This window comes from Homo sapiens, chromosome 3 (genome assembly GCF_000001405.40).
Source record: "Homo sapiens chromosome 3, GRCh38.p14 Primary Assembly".
Taxonomy (NCBI): Eukaryota; Metazoa; Chordata; class Mammalia; order Primates; family Hominidae; genus Homo; species Homo sapiens.
Window position 1 is genome coordinate 57,009,532 of NC_000003.12, and position 20,174 is coordinate 57,029,705.

General features: G+C 47.3%; 1 protein-coding gene across 12 annotated transcripts in view, besides 1 other annotated feature; it reads right to left on the minus strand.

Annotated features, from left to right (window-relative positions):
* The window catches only part of ARHGEF3 (Rho guanine nucleotide exchange factor 3), a 351,849-nt gene that overhangs the window by 282,112 nt on the left and 49,563 nt on the right, over positions 1-20,174 (minus strand). The window lies entirely within an intron of this gene.
* Positions 5,516-6,281: an enhancer, noted in NCBI's record as "H3K27ac hESC enhancer chr3:57049075-57049840 (GRCh37/hg19 assembly coordinates)". NCBI's record gives its function as "activates a minimal SCP1, AML or CMV promoter by ChIP-STARR-seq in primed H9 embryonic stem cells {active_cell/tissue: H9 hESC(primed)}" and the evidence as "EXISTENCE:reporter gene assay evidence [ECO:0000049][PMID:30033119]".

The window sequence follows — 20,174 nt, forward strand, 5'->3', positions numbered from 1 at the left end:
TGCATTTTATCAGCCTGCTGGACAGGCCAGGATGTGAAGGGTGGCTGCAGGCCTGCCAAGTTGCTGGAGGAGATTAAACAAAAAGTGAGCCACACTGCTGCGGGAAACAAATGAGAGTGCGTGGAGAAGACTCCCAGCACACCCAGTGTGTGTCTGTGTGATGGAATGCCAGGGTAAGAAGATGGGACCTTGTTCCACATCTCTTTAAAGGAACCACACAAGCCAAGAGACACAGGATGGAATCTCAGTTCTCAAACCAGCCCATCTCATTGGAGGTGGTAATAATAATCATGTTATGATTAATTAATAATAATAATAGTGAGCAGCAACACAGCATGACAGCTAACATTTAGTAAGCTCTTACTCTGTGCAAAGCATGGGTATTCTCGTCATACCCATTTTAAAGATGATGAAACAGAGGCACAGCAAGGCCATGAACTCAAACAAAGTCACACCGCAGCAAGTGGTGGAGCAGGAACTGGACCACAGGCAGCTGCCTTCTGAGCCCGGGCTTCTGACCTCAGGGCTTTCTCCTGTCTCTTTTTAACATGCAGGCGCCACAGCACACATACCTTAGATATTCAGAATTCAGGGACACACCTTGTCTTCTATACCCTCTTCCATTATTAAAAACCACAGTGGGCCGGGCGTGGTGGCTCACGCCTGTAATCCCAGCACTTTGGGAGGCCAAGGCGGGCAGATCACGAGGTCAGGAGATAGAGACCATCCTGGCTAACATGGTGAAACCCCATCTCTACTAAAAATACAAAAAAAATTAGCCGGGCGTGGTGGCGGGTGCCTGTAGTCCCAGCTACTTGGGAGGCTGAGGCAGGAGAATGGCGTGAACCCAGGAGGCAGAGCTTGCAGTGAGCCGAGATCGCACCACTGCACTCCAGCCTGGGTGACAGAACGAGACTCCATCTCAAAAAAAAAAAAAAAAAAACCCACAGTGGAATTTATTTACATGTGCACTCCTCTATATGTGACAACTATGTACATTGACATCTACATATACAGGTTATTTTACAGGGTTGTACATACAAAACTATGCATGGTTTGGAGGATTTATGCATTTTGAAGATTAATTTTGACTATCTATAACCTGTACCTGACATGCCAACTTTAGGTGTGTAAAACTCCACTGTTCACAGTCAAAGTGTCTGCCTCCTCAGAGCCCTGACTCCCAAGGAGCCCACCATGGAGAACCAAGGACCCCAGTGTTCATGGAAAGGCCTGAATCATGGGGAGACTAATCTTGAAAAATAGACTTGGGCTGTTTTACAAAATACACTTTACCCCAAGGAAGAGACATTTGGACCCTTGTTCATCGTCTGCTCACTCCTAATTTACACACACTCCACTAAGCTTAGAAAGAAAGATTAAAAGCAGCAAAATTTGAAGAAAGAAATGAGCCAAACACAAAAGGGTGTTAACAGGTGGCACAGGAATCTCCAGGAGGGAGACCAAAAGGAAATTGCAAAGCAGACCCAAAGTAGACTTTAGTATGAGGGGAAATGCTCCCGCCCGCTTCCATAGTTAGTGGGAGCACCCCTGCGTGTAGGAGCTATGATGAACATGCAACCGGCGAGGGAAAATCGGAGGGAAGGTGAAACTGGGACCGGAATGCAGCCTAATGAAGAAACAGAAGCACAGTTGATGAAAACAAAGACGTTTTTGGCACAAGGAGGCAAAGTTAAACCGCCTGGAACTTACAGGAACATGATGGTGCTAAGCACATGATCTAAAACAACGATTTCACCTTTTTTCTGCCCTAGCGGTGAACTCCCTAAAGATTTCCCACGGGGCACACTGATGACAGCAATCCAAGTTGGATAGAGTTGCTCTCAATCCCCACTGCCCACATTCAAATATATACGTCTCCTCTTTTGCCTTTCCACAGGACATATGGCAATGTCTGGAGATATTTTCTTTTGTTACAAGGGAGTGGGGTGAGGTGGGTGCTACTGGAATCTAGTGGGGAGAGGCCAGGGATGCTGCTGAACATCCTCCAATGCACAGGACAGCCCCCCACCTTCCCCCGCCACCCACAGCAAAGAATTCTCCAACCCAAGGATTCAATAGTGTCAAGGTTGAGAAATCCTAATCTAAACCAGAGCAAAGGCAGCAGGTATGGATTTGACACCAGAAAGAAAGGTGTCCTAATACTATCACTTATTTACCTGCTGTGTGACCTGAAACTTTGGTCTCCTCATCTGTACAAGGAGATAATCACTCCCAATCCCTTACAGCTATGCTGAGGATTCATGAGACCTGGCTTTTGAAAGTATTTTATCACTGCAGGCCTCACTCCATCTTCACTGCTTCCCAGTGCTCGCAGGGCCTCTGATTTGCACTATGAGGAAGGAAGAAGGTGGTGGTGAGGAGAAGCGGTGGGGTCTGGTTAGGTGGAAGAATGGTCAGCACTGACTGGCCCTGGGTCCTGGGTGGTCCTTGCTGAGGATTCAGACTCCCTCATAGGATACTCAAGAGGGACATGTGCCTTCTGAGGGAACTTGAGGGGCTGCTCCCAACGAGCTGTGCCAAGAAGACTGAGGTTGAGTATGAAATGGGGTCTACAGGAGATGGCCTCGTGACCTGCCTCAAAACCCAAGAGCCACTACCATTATTACAACAATGCAATCACAATAACAATATTAAGAATGGCCAACATTCATTCAGCACTTAAATCTGTACCTGGTCGTGAACTAAGCCCTCTTTTGTTATTGTTGTTGCTGTTGTTGTTGTTTTGAGACAGGGTCTCTCTCTGTTGCCCAGGGAATGCAGTGGTGTGCTCTTGGCTCACTGCAACCTCCACCTCCCGGGTTTAAGTGATTCTCTTGCCTCAGCCTCCGGAGCAGCTGGGATTACTGGTGCCCGCCATGACACCTAGCTAATTTTTGTATTTTTAGTAGCGACGGGGTTTCACAATGTTGGTCAAGTTGGTCTCGAACTGCTGACCTCAAGTGATCTTCCCACCTTGGCCTCCCAAAGTGCTGGGATTACAGGCGTGAGCCACTGCACGTGGCCACTCTTTGTAGTTTATCAATTTAATCCTCACAACTGACATAGAAGGTGGGTAGAATGATTATCACCATTTGACAAGTGAACTAAAGTCACTTACTCAAGGTCTCACAGTTCAGCCAGAACTAGGTTTTGCACCCAGGATTCTGATGCCATAGTGAGAGGTGACAGTGTGCTGGCAGCCGTTGCTCGCTCTTGGTGCCTCCTCAGCCTTGGCGCCCACTCTGGCCACACTTGAGGAGCCCTTCAGCCCACCGCTGCACTGTGGGAACCCATCTCTGGGCTGGCCGAGGTGAAGCTGGCTCCCTCTGCTTGCAGAGGGATGTGGAGGGAGAAGCATGGGCAGGAACCGGGGCTGCGCACGGGCTCGCAGGCCAGCGTGAATTCCGGGTGGGTGCGGGCTTGGCAGGCCCTGCACTCCTGCTGGCCCTGGGCAGTGAGGGGCTTAGCACCCGGGCCAGGCTGCGGAGGGTGCACCGGATCCCCCAGCACTGCCGGCCGGCCTGCCTGCGCCACACTCGAATTCTCGCTGGGCCTCAGCTGCCTCCCCGCTGGGCAGGGCTTGGGACCTCCAGCCCGCCATGCCTGAGCCCCCCGCCCTGGCGGTGGGCTCCTGTGTCGCCAGAGCCTCCCAGACAGGCACTGCCCCCTGCTCCATGGTGCCCATCCCATCGACGGCCCAAGGGCTGAGGAGTACAGGCATGCGGTGTGGGACTGGTAGGCAGCTCAGCCCCCGGCCCTGGCATGGGATCCACTAGGCGAAGCCAGCTGGGCTCCTGAGTCCAGTAGGGGCTTGGAGAACTTTTTATGTCTAGCTGGAGGATTGTATATGCACCAATCAGCACTTTGTGTCTAGCTTGGGGTTTGTGGATGCACCAATCAGCACTCTGTATCTAGCTAATCTGGTGGTGACTTGGAGAACTTTTATGTCTAGCTAGAGGATTGTAAATGCACCAATCAGCATTCTGTGTCTAGCTAAAGGTTTATAAATGCACCAATCAGTTCTCCGTGGCTAGCTAATCTGGTGGGGACTTGGAGAACTTTTGTGTCTAGCTGGAGGATTGTAAATGCACCAATCAGCACCCTGTGTCTAGCTCAAGGTTTGTAAATGCACCAATCAGTGCTCTGTGTCTAGCTAATCTAGTGGAGACTTGGAGAACTTTTGTGTCTAGCTAAAAGATTGTAAATGCACCAATCAGCACTTGGTGTCTAGCTCAGGGATTGTAAACATACCAATCAGCACCCTGTCAAAACGGACCAATCAGCTCTCTGTAAAATGGACCAATCAGCTCTCTGTAAAATGGACCAATCAGCAGGATGTGGGTGGGGCCAGATAAGGGAATAAAAGCAGGCTGCCGGAGCCAGCAGCGGCAACTCTTTGGGTCAATTTCCACTCTGGGGAAGTTTTGTTCCTCTGCTCTTTGCAATAAATCTTGCTGCTGCTCACTCTTTGGATCTGCACTGCCTTTATGAGCTGTAACACTCACCGCGAAGGTCTGGAGCTTCACTCTTAAAGCCAGCGAGACCACGAACCCGCCAGGAGGAACGAACAACTCCAGACGTGACCCCTTAAGAGCTGTAACACTCAGCGGGAAGGTTTGCAGCTTCACTCTTGAAGCCAGCAAGACCACGAACCCACCAGAAGGAAAAAACTCCAAACACGTCTGAATATCCGAAGGAACAAACTCCGGACACACCATCTTTAAGAACTGTAACACTCACTGTGAGGGTCCGCGGCTTCATTCTTGAAGTCAGTGAGATCAAGAACACACCGATTCTGGACACAATAGTGCACAGCCTTAACCACTACAGCACCTTCCTTCCAAACCACGCCCCTTCCATCACCACCCCTGTTCATCACAACCTGGACTCCCATATTCCAGAAGAAAGCAGGAAATCGAGCCAAATATGTGGTATAATTCTATTAAAATATTTACTGTGCATATGCGTACCAATGCAAGAAGGAAATTTCTCACAATACTCACTGATTAACAGTATTTAATGATCAGCAGAATTAGAAAACTATATTTCTTTATAGTTTTCTAAACTTTTCAGTTTTTTTACAATAAACAGATTAACAGTTAACATAGAAAGTAAAATTACAAAAGCAAATATTTATAAAGCTTGTTAACTTTTTTTTTTTTTTGAGACAGAGTCTCGCTGTGTCACCCAGGCTGGAGTGCAGTGGCGTGATGTCAGCTCACCACAAGCTCCACCTCCCAGGCTCAGGCCATTGTCCTGCCTCAGCCTCCTGAGTAGCTGGGACTACAGGCGCCCGCCACTGCACTTGGCTAATTTATTTTTTTGTATTTTTACTAGTCACGGGGTTTCACCGTGTTAGCCAGGATGGTCTCGATCTCCTGACCTCGTGATCCTCCCGCCTCGGCCTCCCAAAGTGCTGGGACTACAGGCGTGAGCCACTGTGCCCGGCCAAAGCTTGTTAACTTTTTTCATGTACTTTTTTTTTTTTTTTAGCAAAAGTCTGCCAACAACCTGAAATTATTAATTGTCTAAACCAGAGGTTGGCAGACTAGGGCCTGAGGGCCAAATCCAGCCGTCTGCCAGTTTACATAACGTTTTACTGGTATACAGCCACGCTCATTCACTTATGTAAATGACTAGGACTGCTTTTGGCTACAACTGAGTTAAGTAGCCACCTGCAGACACATGGTAACACTATACCCCGTTTCTAATCTGACCTAGAGATAAACTTCTTACTCTCCTACCTCTAAACCTTCCCTCACAACATGTCTCTACTTGTTTTGCTACAGCCCAAAATGGATATTCTAGGAAACCAATGAAACTGAAGCTTAGGGGCCCCTCACTTCACAGGACCCTCCTTAGAAAGGTGTATGTGCTCTTACAATTTTGTAAAATTCGGAAAGGGATATTTAAAAATTCTTTTTATTTTTTCTCTGTTGCCCAGGCTGGAGTGCAGTTGCAGGATCATGGCTCACTGTAACCTCAACATTCTGGGCTCAAGCTATCCTCCCGCCTCAGCCTCCTGGGTAGGTAGGACTGCAGGCGGACACCACCACGCCCTGCTAATTTTTTTTTTTTTTTTTTTTTAGTACAAACGAAGTCTAGTTATGTTGCCCAGGCTGGTCTCAAACGCCTGGGCTCAAGTGATCCTCTTGCCTCTGCCTCTTAAAGTGCTGGGATTATAGGCGTGAGCCACTGCACCTGGCCTTAAAATTCTTTTTCTTGAAAAGGTCCCCCAAATTATATAAGTTTCAGACCCTCAAAATGGATCTACCTGTATCTAAAGCCCTAGACACTTCGCCACCCTTGTTACATTTTCAAGACCACAGCATGTTCAGTGGTGAGACAAGTCTTGTTCCCACCAATTCCCAAGCAGCACTGGCAATGATGAACTCTTGGATCTCCAATCCCCAGATGGCCGAATCTTGCAGACAGAGACCACAGAGGCAGGGGTCCACCTGGGTGCGTCCTCATATCCAGCAGGAAGTTCACAGAGCAGACCATGCCCCTACAGGACCCTAGTGGCACTCACACCCACACAAGGAAAAGAACATGCACAACTATCACACAACTATCTTTCTGCCATTTGTGACCTCTACTGAAATCCACCTTCCAATCCAATTTATGTATTTCGTGATACAGAGCCTCAGACATCACAGCACATCCAAGTGGTAAGACGCAGGCAGGTGGACTGAAACTGCTTTCTAAAAGGTAATGCTGCTTGCAAGAATGACAAAAACGGCCAGGCGCAGTAATCCCAGCACTTTGGGAGGCCTCGGTGGGAGGATCATGAGGTCAGGGGTTCAATATCAGCCTGGTCAAGATAGTGAAACCCTGTCTCTACTAAAAATACAAAAAAAAAAAATTAGCTGGGCGTGATGGTGGGCGCCTATAATCTCAGCTACTCGGGAGGCTGAGGCAGAGAATTGCTTAAACCCGGGAGGCGGAGGATCCAGAGAGCTGAGATCGCACCACCGCACTCCAGCCTGGGCAACAGAGCGAAACTCCGTCTCAAAAAGAAAAAAGAATGACAAAAAGGAGATCAAATCACATAATGTCCATGCAAATGTTTTATTATTTTAAAGACTTCTCGAATGTGTGGAGAGTTTTTCAAAATAGCTACCGTTAGGATGGAAAATTTACATCAGCTGGTGCTAAGCACAGTTGTCAATCCAAATGCCCACCCACACCTCTGAGTTGGTGCACAGTGTCCTTCACTCTCTTGCTCTTGGTCCCCCCCAGGTCTATTCTTATATCCCCTTTTCCCTGGTGTGGGGGAGGGGTCTTCTTTGTGGAGTGCAGCTGGCGGTTATGATAAGCAGGTGTCAGGACTTTGAAAATGACCTTGCCCATCAGCTGGTGGGAACCAAGAAGACAAGGAAGTCACTGTGTCACTGTCTGCCGGGTCTCAGTCCCCGAAACAAGACACAGTGAGGCCTGGTGGGGGAGAGAGAGGAAAGCTTTCTCTCTGTCTCTCTCTCTCTCTCTCTCTCTCTCTCACACACACACACACACACACACACACACACACGAGTCACCAAACAAAAGGAAATGCACACAATGTCACCACTAAAGAGCAAAATAAAAACTCAAAGGTGAGGATTAAGTGTTTCCTAAACAGCAGAGGTAAACCAAGGAGACTGAGGCTTAGACAAATCCAGGGAAAGTCTGCATTCTATGCGTGGAGTTGGCAAATTCCATCAGGAGAGAGTCAGCAGAGGTTGGGGGAAGGGTAGGGATGTATATTCACCCAAGGCTGATTCCAGCGCCCAGAAAGCCAGGGCCATGTAAATGGCTGTTACTGTACCAGTCCCTGGAAAGGTTCCAATACCCAGGACATGCTCTGGGAAGAAAGAGAATGTCCACTAACCCAGTTTCTAATTAAATGTGGGTTAACTGGCACTGCTCCCTGCAGCTCAAGGGGCCAATTGAGAGCTAAAAGGAGCGTTTTTCAAAATAAAAAGGCCGAGCCCACCAAGCCAGCACTTTTTGTTTTCTCACATCCTTTCAGTTGCTCAACTTGACCCTCTGCTAGTTGGGTTGACTCCTTGGTCCTTGAAGAAACAAACCCTTCCCTGCCCCCACCAGCTCCACGTCTGCAAGGACAGAGATGCCCCCTTGGCACACGTTGGATTGAACTCTGTTCCTCCTTTCCCACGATGTCGTCACGGCTGCCCAAGGATGAGTCACTGTGAAAGCCACACATTGTCCCCAGTGGACAAAAGGCTGGACCCAGGAGAGTGGCCCATTCACGCTTCTCCAAGAGCTAACCAGCCTCTTTCTACAACATCCAAAGGATGCTGCCTGATGCTGGGAAATGGTTAGTCTTCTCTCCCAGCTCCCAGTGCTAACATGAATAGGAAGAGAAACGAGCTTGGAAAAAAACTTTCAGTGAAGTGCAAAGAGCACATGCAGTAGTTACGCTGTGAAAACCAAGGCAAAACTTCATTCAAGATGCTTAAAAGCCAGGTGCAGTGGCTCACGCTGTAATCCCAACACTTTGGGAGCCCAAGGCAGGTGGATCAGTTGAGGTCAGGAGTTTGAGACCAGCCTGGCCAACATGGTGAAACCCCATTTCTACTAAAAATAGAAAAATTAGCTGGGCGTGGTGGCATATGCCTGTAGTCCCAGCTACTCAGCAGGCTGAGGCAGGAGAATCACTTGAACCTGGGAGGCTGAGGCTGCAGTGAGCTGAGATGGCACCCCTGCACACCAGCCTGGGTGACAGAGCAAGGCTCTGTCACAAAAAAAAAAAAAAAAAAAACTTTAAAGGCCAAAAAGGAATATAGATCAATTTGTTAGTAATAATAATGTCACATTTTCTGCACATCAACTAAGGCACTGGGCTAAGGAAGGGTGTTGTTTGCATTATCTCATTTCATCCTCAGAACTACTCTATAAGGTAGGTCCTATAATTAGCCTCATTTTACATGCAAGGAAAGCAGAGCAAAGAGAGCTTAAGTAACTTCCAAAAGGTCACACATCTGGCCAGTGGTACAGTCAGGATTTGAACCAGAGCAGTCTGGCTCCAGAGCTGTGTTCTTAAATATACCATGCTATCATTAATTAATAAACTAATTTATAATGATTAAAGTTATGCTAAAGTGTTCACATTTGGGGGAGGTTGTGATGCTTTACGTTTATGTCGTGTCTCACCTTCCCCACACCAAAAAAGTCACAACCTGGCTTTTCCCATTTAAAGACAGTATCTGCCAGGTAGTGTGCTGAGCATGTGACATGTATCATCTCATTAATCCCCACAACCAATAATATGAGGTTGGTGCTAATATTATTCCTTTTACAGATGAAGACATCGAGCTTCAGGGAAGTTAACATCCTTGCCCAAGGTCATAAAACAAAGAAGGAATTTGAAGCCAAGAATGTCAGATTCCAGCATCTGTATTCTTTCCATTATATATGCCATCTCTCGCAGAATTTCAAGATTTTCCAGAAAAAAAAAAATTAACAGTATCATGAAATGAGGGATGAGAATGACCGAGTCCAATGTTAAGCCACCTGGATTCATTGGGTAGCAAGGACCACAGTGGGTAGCTGGCCCATAAACCAGGACCATCCTCCTGGCCTCCAGCCTACATCACTGGATGGGTGAACTGTGACAAATCACTTATCTCTCTAGACCTTGGTTTCTTTATTTATAAAAGAGGAACAAGAGAGCAAGGGGGACTTCCTGAGTCTCAGGTAGACCAGGGCACTCCCAGAGGGCTCTGTAGGTGGCCATTTCTCCTCCATGGATGGACGCTTCCCACCTCCCTTCCCGGCACAATTCTTCAGGATCAGGTTTCTTATTTTTTCCCTGGACCCAAGTGTGTGCACCCAGGTAGGCAATGGCAAGAAAGTCACAGTCTTTCTCAGCCTCGGTGTGTTCCTAGGGAGGAGATGAGGAGGGGAGGGAAAGAAAGGGGGCTCGAAAGGAGCTGGAATGGGGGCAGAGTGCTTGAACAAGTGCTACACCTGATCCCAGGAGGTGTAAACATATGCAGAAAAGCTTGTCCCTTAAGTTGGCATGTGTGTCAGATATATTTACACCTCAATCAAATTAAAATAAAAAATACTATTTGAAGAGATGCCACATCAGATCAGGCAAGATTTTGTCAAATTAAAACTTTGCTACTATAAAGGCTCTATATTAAGTATGTAACATCCCATCCAAGACACCTTTTTAAAGGCATCTACCTTCTAAGTTCATTATGAAAAGGGAACAATAAGGAATTGACAAGAAGGATTATTATATGTGGCTGAGAGGCTGGGGGTAAGGGTGAGCTTGGGGAAATCTTTTCTTTAATAATCAACCCTCAAGGTGCACGGATGATGCCTTAACTCTCTATTTCCATCTATTTTCATGATTGATTGATTTATGAACGAGACAGAGTTTCACTCTTGTTGCCCAGGCTGGAGTACAATGGTGCAATCTCGGCTCACTGCAAACTCCACCTCCCAGGTTCAAGTGATTCTCCTGCCTCAGCCTCCCAAGTAGCTGGGACTACAGGCGAGCGCCACCTCGCCCAGCTAATTTTGTATTTTTAGTAGAAACGGAGTTTCACCATGTTAGTCAGGCTGGTCTCAAACTCCTGACCTCAAGTGATCTACCTGCCTTGGCCTTCCCAAGGGCTGGGATTTCAGGTTTTCATGCCTAATTTAGTGGAGCAAATAAAGCCTGAAACTTCAGGTAGGGACTTAAAATCCTGATGCTGTCACTGATTTGCAGGGTCCTGGGGCTGAGTCAGGAATCATGGCTCCCTGCCACCTCCCCTCTCACTTGTGAAAAAGGACAGTGAAGACCACAAAGGGGATCGCTGGCCCAGATGGCATGAACATCTGGGGTGTCTGCCACCCAGCATCCAATTCCCTGTGTGTGGGTGACAGCACCTGGCCTTCCCATTGGGGGACCACCCCTCCCTCACTCTCCATCCATGGGTTCAGATGAGGCTGACTCCATCCTCCACCCCCGAGTTCCAGAGTTCCAGGAGAGAGCACGAAGCCCACGTTGTGAACAAATCTGAGTTCACTCGGGAAGCTCTGCTGGAACAAGTGGGAATAAGCTTTCACTCCATAGCTGGAGTCAAATGCCAGCCTGGAGTTGGTGGTATCACAGGGAGGAAACGTTCCTGAGAATGATTTCAACACAGAAGAAAGCAGAGCCAAGAGAAGGGCAGAGTGACAGCAAGGCCTAATCGACACTGAGCCCCTGGATCCCACCATGCCTGAGGCTATCTACTGTCGGACCTTCCATTCCTGTGGGCCATTACATTCCCTATGGAGCTTGATCCTGAATGAACTGCATTTCTGTCACTTGCAATAACATTTCCTAGCAGAACCACTGCATAGAATCCTAAGTCTCTTAGTTATAAGGGATACTGGTGGCTGTACACCCAGCAGCATTTTGCAGATAATAAGCATTCAATAAATGTAAGTTGGTCTAATGGATGAATGGTTTGTTCATTTCCTCTAGCTTCAATGCCTCAAACAGAAGGAAAGCTATCCTGTCAGTATTACTCTAAGCCACAGGATAAACCAAGTACATCTTCATGGAGTACTAATTTAAATGACAGAAAGTAGCTCCATGCTTGAAAAGCACAGCTGTAACCAAACATAGACACCTGTGGTTCACCCCAGGAATGAAAGGATGGGTCAACATTAGGAAATCTATCAATATAATTCATCTCATTACAGAGTCAAAAGAAAAAACAAAAACAGATGTCTCCTTAGATGCCAATCTTGTTGAATTCCAACATATATTCCTGATTGAAAAAAGAAACTTTTAACAAAACAAGAATGGAATGAAACTTCCTTAAGAGATATAAAGCTCAAACTGAAAGCCTGCATCACATCTCCTAGGGAAACATTAGCGCACTCCCACTGAAGTGGGTACAAAGCAAGAGGAACTCTACATACCACCGCTAGTTAACATTATTCAGGAAGCGGCCAGGCGCGGTGGCTCACACCTGTAATCCCAGCACTTTGGGAGGCCGAGGCAGGCAGATCATGAGGTCAGATTGAGACCATCTTGGCCAACATGGTGAAACCCCATCTCTACTAAAATACAAAAAATTAGCCAGGCATGGTGGTGCGTGCCTGTAACCCCAGCTACTTGGGAGGCTGAGGCAGGGGAATCACTTGAGCCCGGGAGGCAGAGGTTGCAGTGAGCTGAGATCATGCCACTGCACTCCAGCCTGGCGACAGAGGAAGACGCCATCTCAAAAAAAAAAAAAAAATTTATTCAGGAAGCATTTACCAATCCAATTAGAAGACAAAAAAAGTCATACTGACTAGAAAGGAAGGGAAAACAAAATTGTATTAATTTGCAGATGATACAATTATATGTCTGGAAAAATCCCTCCCTACAAAAATATAGTAATAATAAAATAAGATCTGCAAAACTATTAGAGCAAACAGGAAAACTAGATAATATTAATCAACATGAATAAAAGAAGTTGGCTGGACATGGTGGCTCAAGCCTGCAATCCCAGCGCTTTGAGAGGCTGAGACAGGAGGACTGCTTGAGTCCAGGAGTTCAAGATCAGCCTGGGTAACCCAATGAGACCTTGTTTCTACAAAAAAATTTTAAAAATTTAGCCGGGCACGGTGGCATGTGTCTGTAGTCCTAGCTACTCTAGAGGCTGAGTCAGGGGGATTGCTTGAGCTCAGGAGTTTGAGGCTGCAGTGAGCTATGATCACCTCACTGCACTCCAGCCTGGGTAACAGACACTGCCCTGTCCAGTCACCTGGGGAAGCCCAGGAGGTCCCTGTCTTTGCCAACAAAGGAAGAGAGGACCCATCTTTCAAGACATGACTCGCAATAGCAGGGCTGATCAGACTGATCCACACGTGTGACCATCTCATCACCCACATCTGTACTGATCTGAATGTCATTTTTGTCTCAAAAAAAAAAGTTATTAATCAATAGCTTTCCTATATACAAAAAAAAAGAAGCATGAATACATGCTGGTGATCCAGCTAACATAAATGATTATTCCAGAAAAACATTCCTTCTTGTGCTCTGCCACATTTCCTCTTCTCTACTTGTGTGAATGTTGGTGGCATGCTTGAAACTCACAGCTGTACCCAAACATAGACACTACCAACCAGGCACTTATTTTGCCTAGGCTCAACCATCTCTGTTGACTGGGAACCAATCTCCCGAGACTGCCCTGTCCAGTCACCTGGGGAAGCCTAGGAGGACCCTGTTTTTTGCCAACAAAGGAAGAGAGGACCTATCTTTCAAGACATGACTCGCAGTAGCAGGCTGATCAGGCTGATCCACACGTATGACCGTCTCATCACCCACATCTGTACTGACCTGAATGCCATTCTTTGTCCAAGCTAAGCCCCTGGGCCTTAGCACATGCTGTCCCTGATGCCTGCCATGATTTTCCTCAAGAAGGCTGCAGGGCTTGCTCTCTCAACATTCAGGTCTATGTTGAATGTTATTCTCTCAAAAAAGCTCTCCCTGTGTCTCTATGTAAAACTCCACCTGCTTATGCTCACCCTATCACATACTCTATCTTTCCTCACAGCATACACCACCAGCTAATGCCACTTCACACATCTGTTTATGGTCTGTCTCTCTCACCAGAAGGTAAGCTCCATCAGGGCAGGGACCACCACATCCGCTTCATTCACTGCAGTATCCCTATCCCAAACACAGTCCCAGATGCACAGAAGGGGCTCAACAGATGTTAGTTTTATAGGTGGATGGATGGATTTGTTCAGTCCCCAGATCCACTCTCAATTCTACCACCGAATATTTTTCATGAGTTCACCTCTCTCCATTGGTTATCCAAGCTATCCACTCACTTATTCTCAACAGGTATTTATGACCTCCATCATCTCTCTCCTGGATGGCTACAATACCCCCAGCTGGTTACTTAGCCCTGAGTTTTGCTTCCCTCCAAATCTTTTTCCCACTCTAGCCAGAGATCTTTTCTCAAAATGCAGATTTAATCAGATTTAAGAAGCCATTTAAAACACTTCAGTGGCCTCTTGGGACCCTTAGGACAGAGTCTAAGCTCTTTACTACCAAGGCCAAGAGGACCCAGTGTTCCCAGCCCAGAGGACTCCCAGGCCCCTGCCATATGACATGATCCAGTCTCACTGAGATGCTGTCTTTGCTTCCGGCACATCACATCTCTGTGGAGTCCGGACCTTGGCACACACTGCCCCTTCCACATGGTTTGCTCTTTACCTGGCTATCCCTCACAGATGCTTCCATTTTCTGTCTGCTACTTCCCACGGGGAATGTTAGGTCCACCCCAAAGGGACTACAGATCCTCACACTTCCCTGTCACATGCTCACTGCCCTGGGAATAGCTTGTTTAGGTCTGTGTGCTCCTGTACTATAAGATTCACAAGAGTCGGCCTGTGCCATTCACAGCACCCAGAACAACGCCCCCGGCACTGAGTAGACACTCGAGATAGACTTCCTTGACTTTAATTTAAATCATGCCTTCTCCAAATTGGCATGGGGTTGGTTTCTTTGTGTCACATCTGATGCTGCTTTGGGCACCCCAATGCACCCTTCATACTCCCTTGAGAAAACAGCAACACACAGGTACATGCTTACACTTGCATACACACAGCACTCGGGAACCCACCACTCCCCAAAGTGCCCATTCCACCATGACATTCTAACCTTGCAGAAATCTTCTTTCCTGCCTAATGTTATAAACAGAATATTGAAGCTTCCTACATCAAGAACACTCTACTCCAATTTGACCTGGATCTATCAAAAAGAAGGAAAGATATTAAAAAAAAAAAAAAAGTAGGGGGCTGCCTCTGAAATATCTCCCTTAGCCACCATACCTGGAAGGCCAATAGCAAACAGATTCAATTTTACTTGACAATCTTAAAAAAAAAAATCAGAGCTATACCTGTATATGGCTTATTTCTGTAATAAAACAAAAAAAAATCCACTTTGTGTAGGGTAAGAGCAATTTTGTTTTTTTCTTTTTTTGAGACGGAATCTCGCTCTGTCGCCCAGGCTGGAGTGCAGTGGTGCGATCTCGGCTCACTGCAAGCGCTGCCTCCCGGGTTCACGCCATTCTCCTGCCTCAGCCTCCCAAGTAGCTGGGACTACAGGCACCCGCCACCACACCCGGCTAATTTTTTGTATTTTTAGTAGAGACGGGGTTTCACCACGTCAGCCAGGATGGTCTCGATCTCCTGACCTCATGATCCGCCCGCCTCGGCCTCCCAAAGTGCTGGGATTACAGGCGTGAGCCACCGCGCCCGGCCAAGAGCAGTTTTTTATTACAAATGCTTATCCTTGTTAATAGTTGTTAGAATTATGGTCAATATAATATCTCAATCTGATCTAAAACAAAACAAATGCAGGCTAATGCCTTCACCAGCGTGTCAACTGAGCAACACCAGCATGGGTTATCCTGACGTTGGAGTGATGTCACCCACGAGGGCCTCTCACTGCAAATGCTGCACCTGGACTCCACCCTTGAGGCTTCACTTGAAGTTCATGGAACTGGAGGACCAAGGTAAATGGCACCGCAAAGACACACCTAGACAAACACAGAACGTGGATCTGACTCTTCAAAACGCTAGTGCCATGGAGGGCAAAAATAAAGGAGGGATCTGTTCTGGATCGAAGGAGACTAAAGAGATGAAATTATCAAATACAGTGCTTTAGCCAGGAATGGGCCGAGATGAGTAGGGAAAGGAAAAGGGGTTTCGGAGCAATGGAGGGACTCTGGATCCTGAAGAAGAGTTAGGAGACAGTATTAGTCATAAAACTTCAGAGCTGTGAAAAACCATCACCATCTTTACAATGACACAATGATCCACGATTTACCAAGGAATTTCATGTGACCTAGTCCCACCCGCTCACTTCAGAGATGAGGAAACTGCACTCAGAGGAGTGGCTAGACTCTAGCCCTAATGCAGTGGGTTGCTGAAGTTGGCACACACTGGGAAGAGTGATTGCACACATCTCAGTGACTCTGTGTTAGCATGTTGAAGTTGGCCATGGTGGGAGTATTTACAGAAGTAGGCAAATGCTACAAGTCTGAGCTTTTTCCCCTCAGAAACTCATTTGCCCTAACCCTTACCCTAACCCTGTCCTAAAGCCAGACGTGAACCTAGGCCTCCCTCCAGCCATTCAGGGCTCCTTTCCATCACCCTTGTTTTTGCTCCCTCTTGAGTCCTCTGCCCCTGAAAAACCTATGCCAGACTGCAAAGTCCTCCAGGGCACGGACTCTATTAGATTGTAATCAGGGCCCCTGCCTGTCCTACTCACCAATGTATCCATGAGCCCAGCACAGTGCCTGGCACACAGCCTCGATAGATACTCATCATTAGAGAAGACGATTCCTCCTACTTGGGCTCTGCACACAGGTGGGACAAAAGCCACCTTCAGCTCAAGCCCCAGAAGCACTCCTGGGGAAAGGCTTAACTCAAGTTCCCATGCTCTTTTCTCACCTAGGGAACAAAATTCTCAAGACTCCCCCCATTCACACCCTAGCAGAATACCCCAGACAAAACCAACACTTAAGATATCTCAATAACCTGTACCTTATGAGCCTAGTGAGCCCATAAGATACCTTAACAATGATGGAGGCAGGACGCAGTGGTTCACACCTATAATTCCAGCTCTTTAGGAGGCCAAGGCAGAAGGATCACTTGAGCTCAGGAGTTTGAGACCAGCCTGGACAACATAGTGAGAGTCCATCTATACAAAAAAATTTTTAAATTAGCCAGGTGTGGTGGTGCAAGCCTGTAGTCCCAGCTACTCAGGAGGCTGAGGTAGAAGGATCACTTGAGCCCAAGAGGTTGAGGCTGCAGTGATTCATGATCACACCACTGCACTCCAGCCTGGATGACAGAGCGAGACTCTGTCTCTTAAAATAAAAGAGGTTTGGATGCCTCCCACCCCACGCTTGCACAGCTCTCTAAGCCCAGTGCTTAACTCCTAGGGTTGAAAAAGTTGATTGCCCTCCAGAGAAAGCGTCACACTCTCACCTGGCAGGAATTTTCTATCAGATTTCCCAGGAGGGAGACCGACATGATGTACATGGTCTCCACCCAGTGAGGGTACCACATAAGGACAGTGGCTGTTTTAGGTGCCACCATCTACCCTACCTGGACAGGGCCGGGGGAGCATCCTCTTCACCAGATGAGTGTGGGCCAGAGGCAAAACCCCTCAGAGACATTCTTTTCCTGCCTGTTGTGCTACATGGTGCCACCTGAGTGCTGTGCCCATCAGAGGCCACCTGGTGTGTGTGTCTTTAAACACTTCTCGATTGTGCACTAGGTGCCAGACACTGCCAGGCCCTTAAGCCTTTATTGTCTCCTATCACTATATTCGTCTCCTCATCTAGACTGTAAGCTGCTTGAAGGCAAGGTCCATGTCTGACTGTAGCCCAGCATGCCCGAAAGAGTGATTAGTACATAGTAGGTACTCAAATAACTGCAGAATGCATTTTTTAATGTGATCACCCTATGTTAGAAATTGTCACAGAGAAGTAGAGGGCATGCATTCTGAGACCTCCTCCTTGACTCTGCAGTTGGTGGGAGAATGATTTTTGAACTGATAAGAGACTAATGCCACGTGCTAGACATTGGCCAGATGCCCAGTGACAGAGCTAAGCATTTCTTACCACACTGAATCCTTGCATAACTCTACAAACTAAGTACCACTGTTATCCACCTTTCACAGATGGGCAAACTGAGACTTGGGAAACTTCAACAACTGGGCCAGGGTACTCACTTCCTCCCCTAACACCCTCCTGGCAGTTCCCCTTGTCACTGGCGCCACCCTATGAGAAGGTGACTGCCTGGCATTAGGAACATGCTGATTGGCTCCCAATGCCCACCCTTCCACACCTCAGTGGACTGCCTGGGATGAAGCCCACTCCCACTCTTGGAGCAGCCACAGAAATTGCTCCCATTCTGCAGAGGGGCTCTGTGCTCTGGTCTGCAGGGAGCAAGTAGGAGGACCCAGACAGACAAGAACAGGTGGGGTGGTGAGAAGGCTGAGAGCTTTCTCTGGGAGCGTCAAAGGTGCAGGTTTAGGCTGGGCACACTGGCTCACACCTGTAATCCCAGCACTTTGGGAGGCTGAGGTGGGTGGATCACGTGAGGCCAGGAGTTCAAGATCAGCCTGGCCAACGTGGTGAAACCCTTTTTCTACTAAAAATACAAAAAAAAATTAGCCAGATGTGGTGACGCACACCTGTAATCCCAGCTACTCAGGAGGCTGAGGCAGGAGAATCGCTTGAACCTGGGAGGTGGAGGTTGCAGTGAGCCGAGATCACGCCATTGCACTCCAGCCTGGGCAACAGAGCGAGACTCTGTCTCAAAAAAAAAATCAAAGGTACAGGTTTAAGCCTAAGCCCTAGAATTACCTGTGACATTGGAGCAGGTACTTTAGAACCCTTTTTCCCTCATCATCACTGGCCATCAGAGAAATGCAAATCAAAACCACTATGAGATATCATCTCACATCAGTTAGAATGGCAATCATTAAAAAGTCAGGAAACAACAGGTGCTGGAGAGGATGTGGAGAAATAGGAACACTTTTACACTGTTGGTGGGACTGTAAACTAGTTCAACCATTGTGGAAGTCAGTGTGGCGATTCCTCAGGGATCTAGAACTAGAAATACCATTTGACCCAGCCAACCCGTTACTGGGTATATACCCAAAGGACTATAAATCATGCTGCTATAAAGACACATGCACACGTATGTTTATTGCAGCATTATTCACAATAGCAAAGACTTGGAACCAACCCAAATGTCCAACAATGATAGACTGGATTAAGAAAATGTGGCACATATACACCATGGAATACTATGCAGCCATAAAAAATGATGAGTTCATGTCCTTTGTAGGGACATGGATGAAATTGGAAACCATCATTCTCAGTAAACTATCGCAAGAACAAAAAACCAAACACCGCATATTCTCACTCATAGGTGGGAATTGAACAATGAGATCACATGGACACAGGAAGGGGAATATCACACTCTGGGGACTGTGGTGGGGTGGGGGGAGGGGGGAGGGATAGCATTGGGAGATATACCTAATGCTAGATGACAAGTTAGTGGGTGCAGCGCACCAGCATGGCACATGTATACATATGTAACTAACCTGCACAATGTGCACATGTACCCTAAAACTTAAAGTATAATAAAAAAAAAATAAATAAATAAATAAAAAAAAAAGAACCCTTTTTCCTCATCTGTAAAACGGGGTGAACAATATGTGTTGTTCACTGGGTTGCGACGATGTTTGGAGCCAATGTATATAAAAAGCCCCTCAGGAGGTGCCCCAAATAAGCAGGCATTATAATTTGCTGTGTAGAGGATTAGCCATGCTCACTGGAGACCAAGGAGCTTTTTTAGTGACTTTGCAGCAAATCTTCCAAGATGTTTTCCAATCCATGCCTTTGGCCATTACAAGGGCAGATAATGGTGAAGACACACACACACACACACACACACACACACACACACCTCCCAAAATAGGACCTGAGGTTGAGGGACCAGATCTGGGGCTTAACTCTTCCACTCATTGGCTACAGGACTGCAGCCAAGCCCTTCACCTCCATAAGCCTCAGTTCCTCATCTGTAAATAACATCTACTTGGGCCGGGCGTGGTGGCTCACGCCTGCAATCCCACTACTTTGGGAGGCCGAGGCAGGCAGATCACCTGAGGTCGGGAGTTTAAGACCAGCCTGACCAACATGGAGAAACCCCGTCTCTACTAAAAATACAAAATTAGCTGGTCGTGGTGGCACATGCCTGTAATCACAGCTACTCAGTAGGCTGAGGCAGGAGAATCACTTGAACCCAGGAGCGGAGGTTGCAGTGAGCAGAGATCATGCCACTACACTCCAGCTTGGACAACAAGAGCGAAACTCCGTCTCAAAAAAAAAAAAAATCTACTTACCTCATTGTCCTGATCACATAGTTGAAGGACTGGGTGAAGGCTCAAAGACCCAATCCAGCACATCCCTGGGGTGATCTCTACAGTAGCAGATGTAGGGAGCTGCCCTCCCTTAAGAGACCTCTGCATGCACAGTGACACTTTATAGGCTCTGATGAGGTCTGCAAAAAGGTCCCCATTTAACTGAGGTTAAGCCAGCACTGGCCAAACAAATTTGACAACAAACCCCACTTTTTCCTGCCATACCTAATCATGT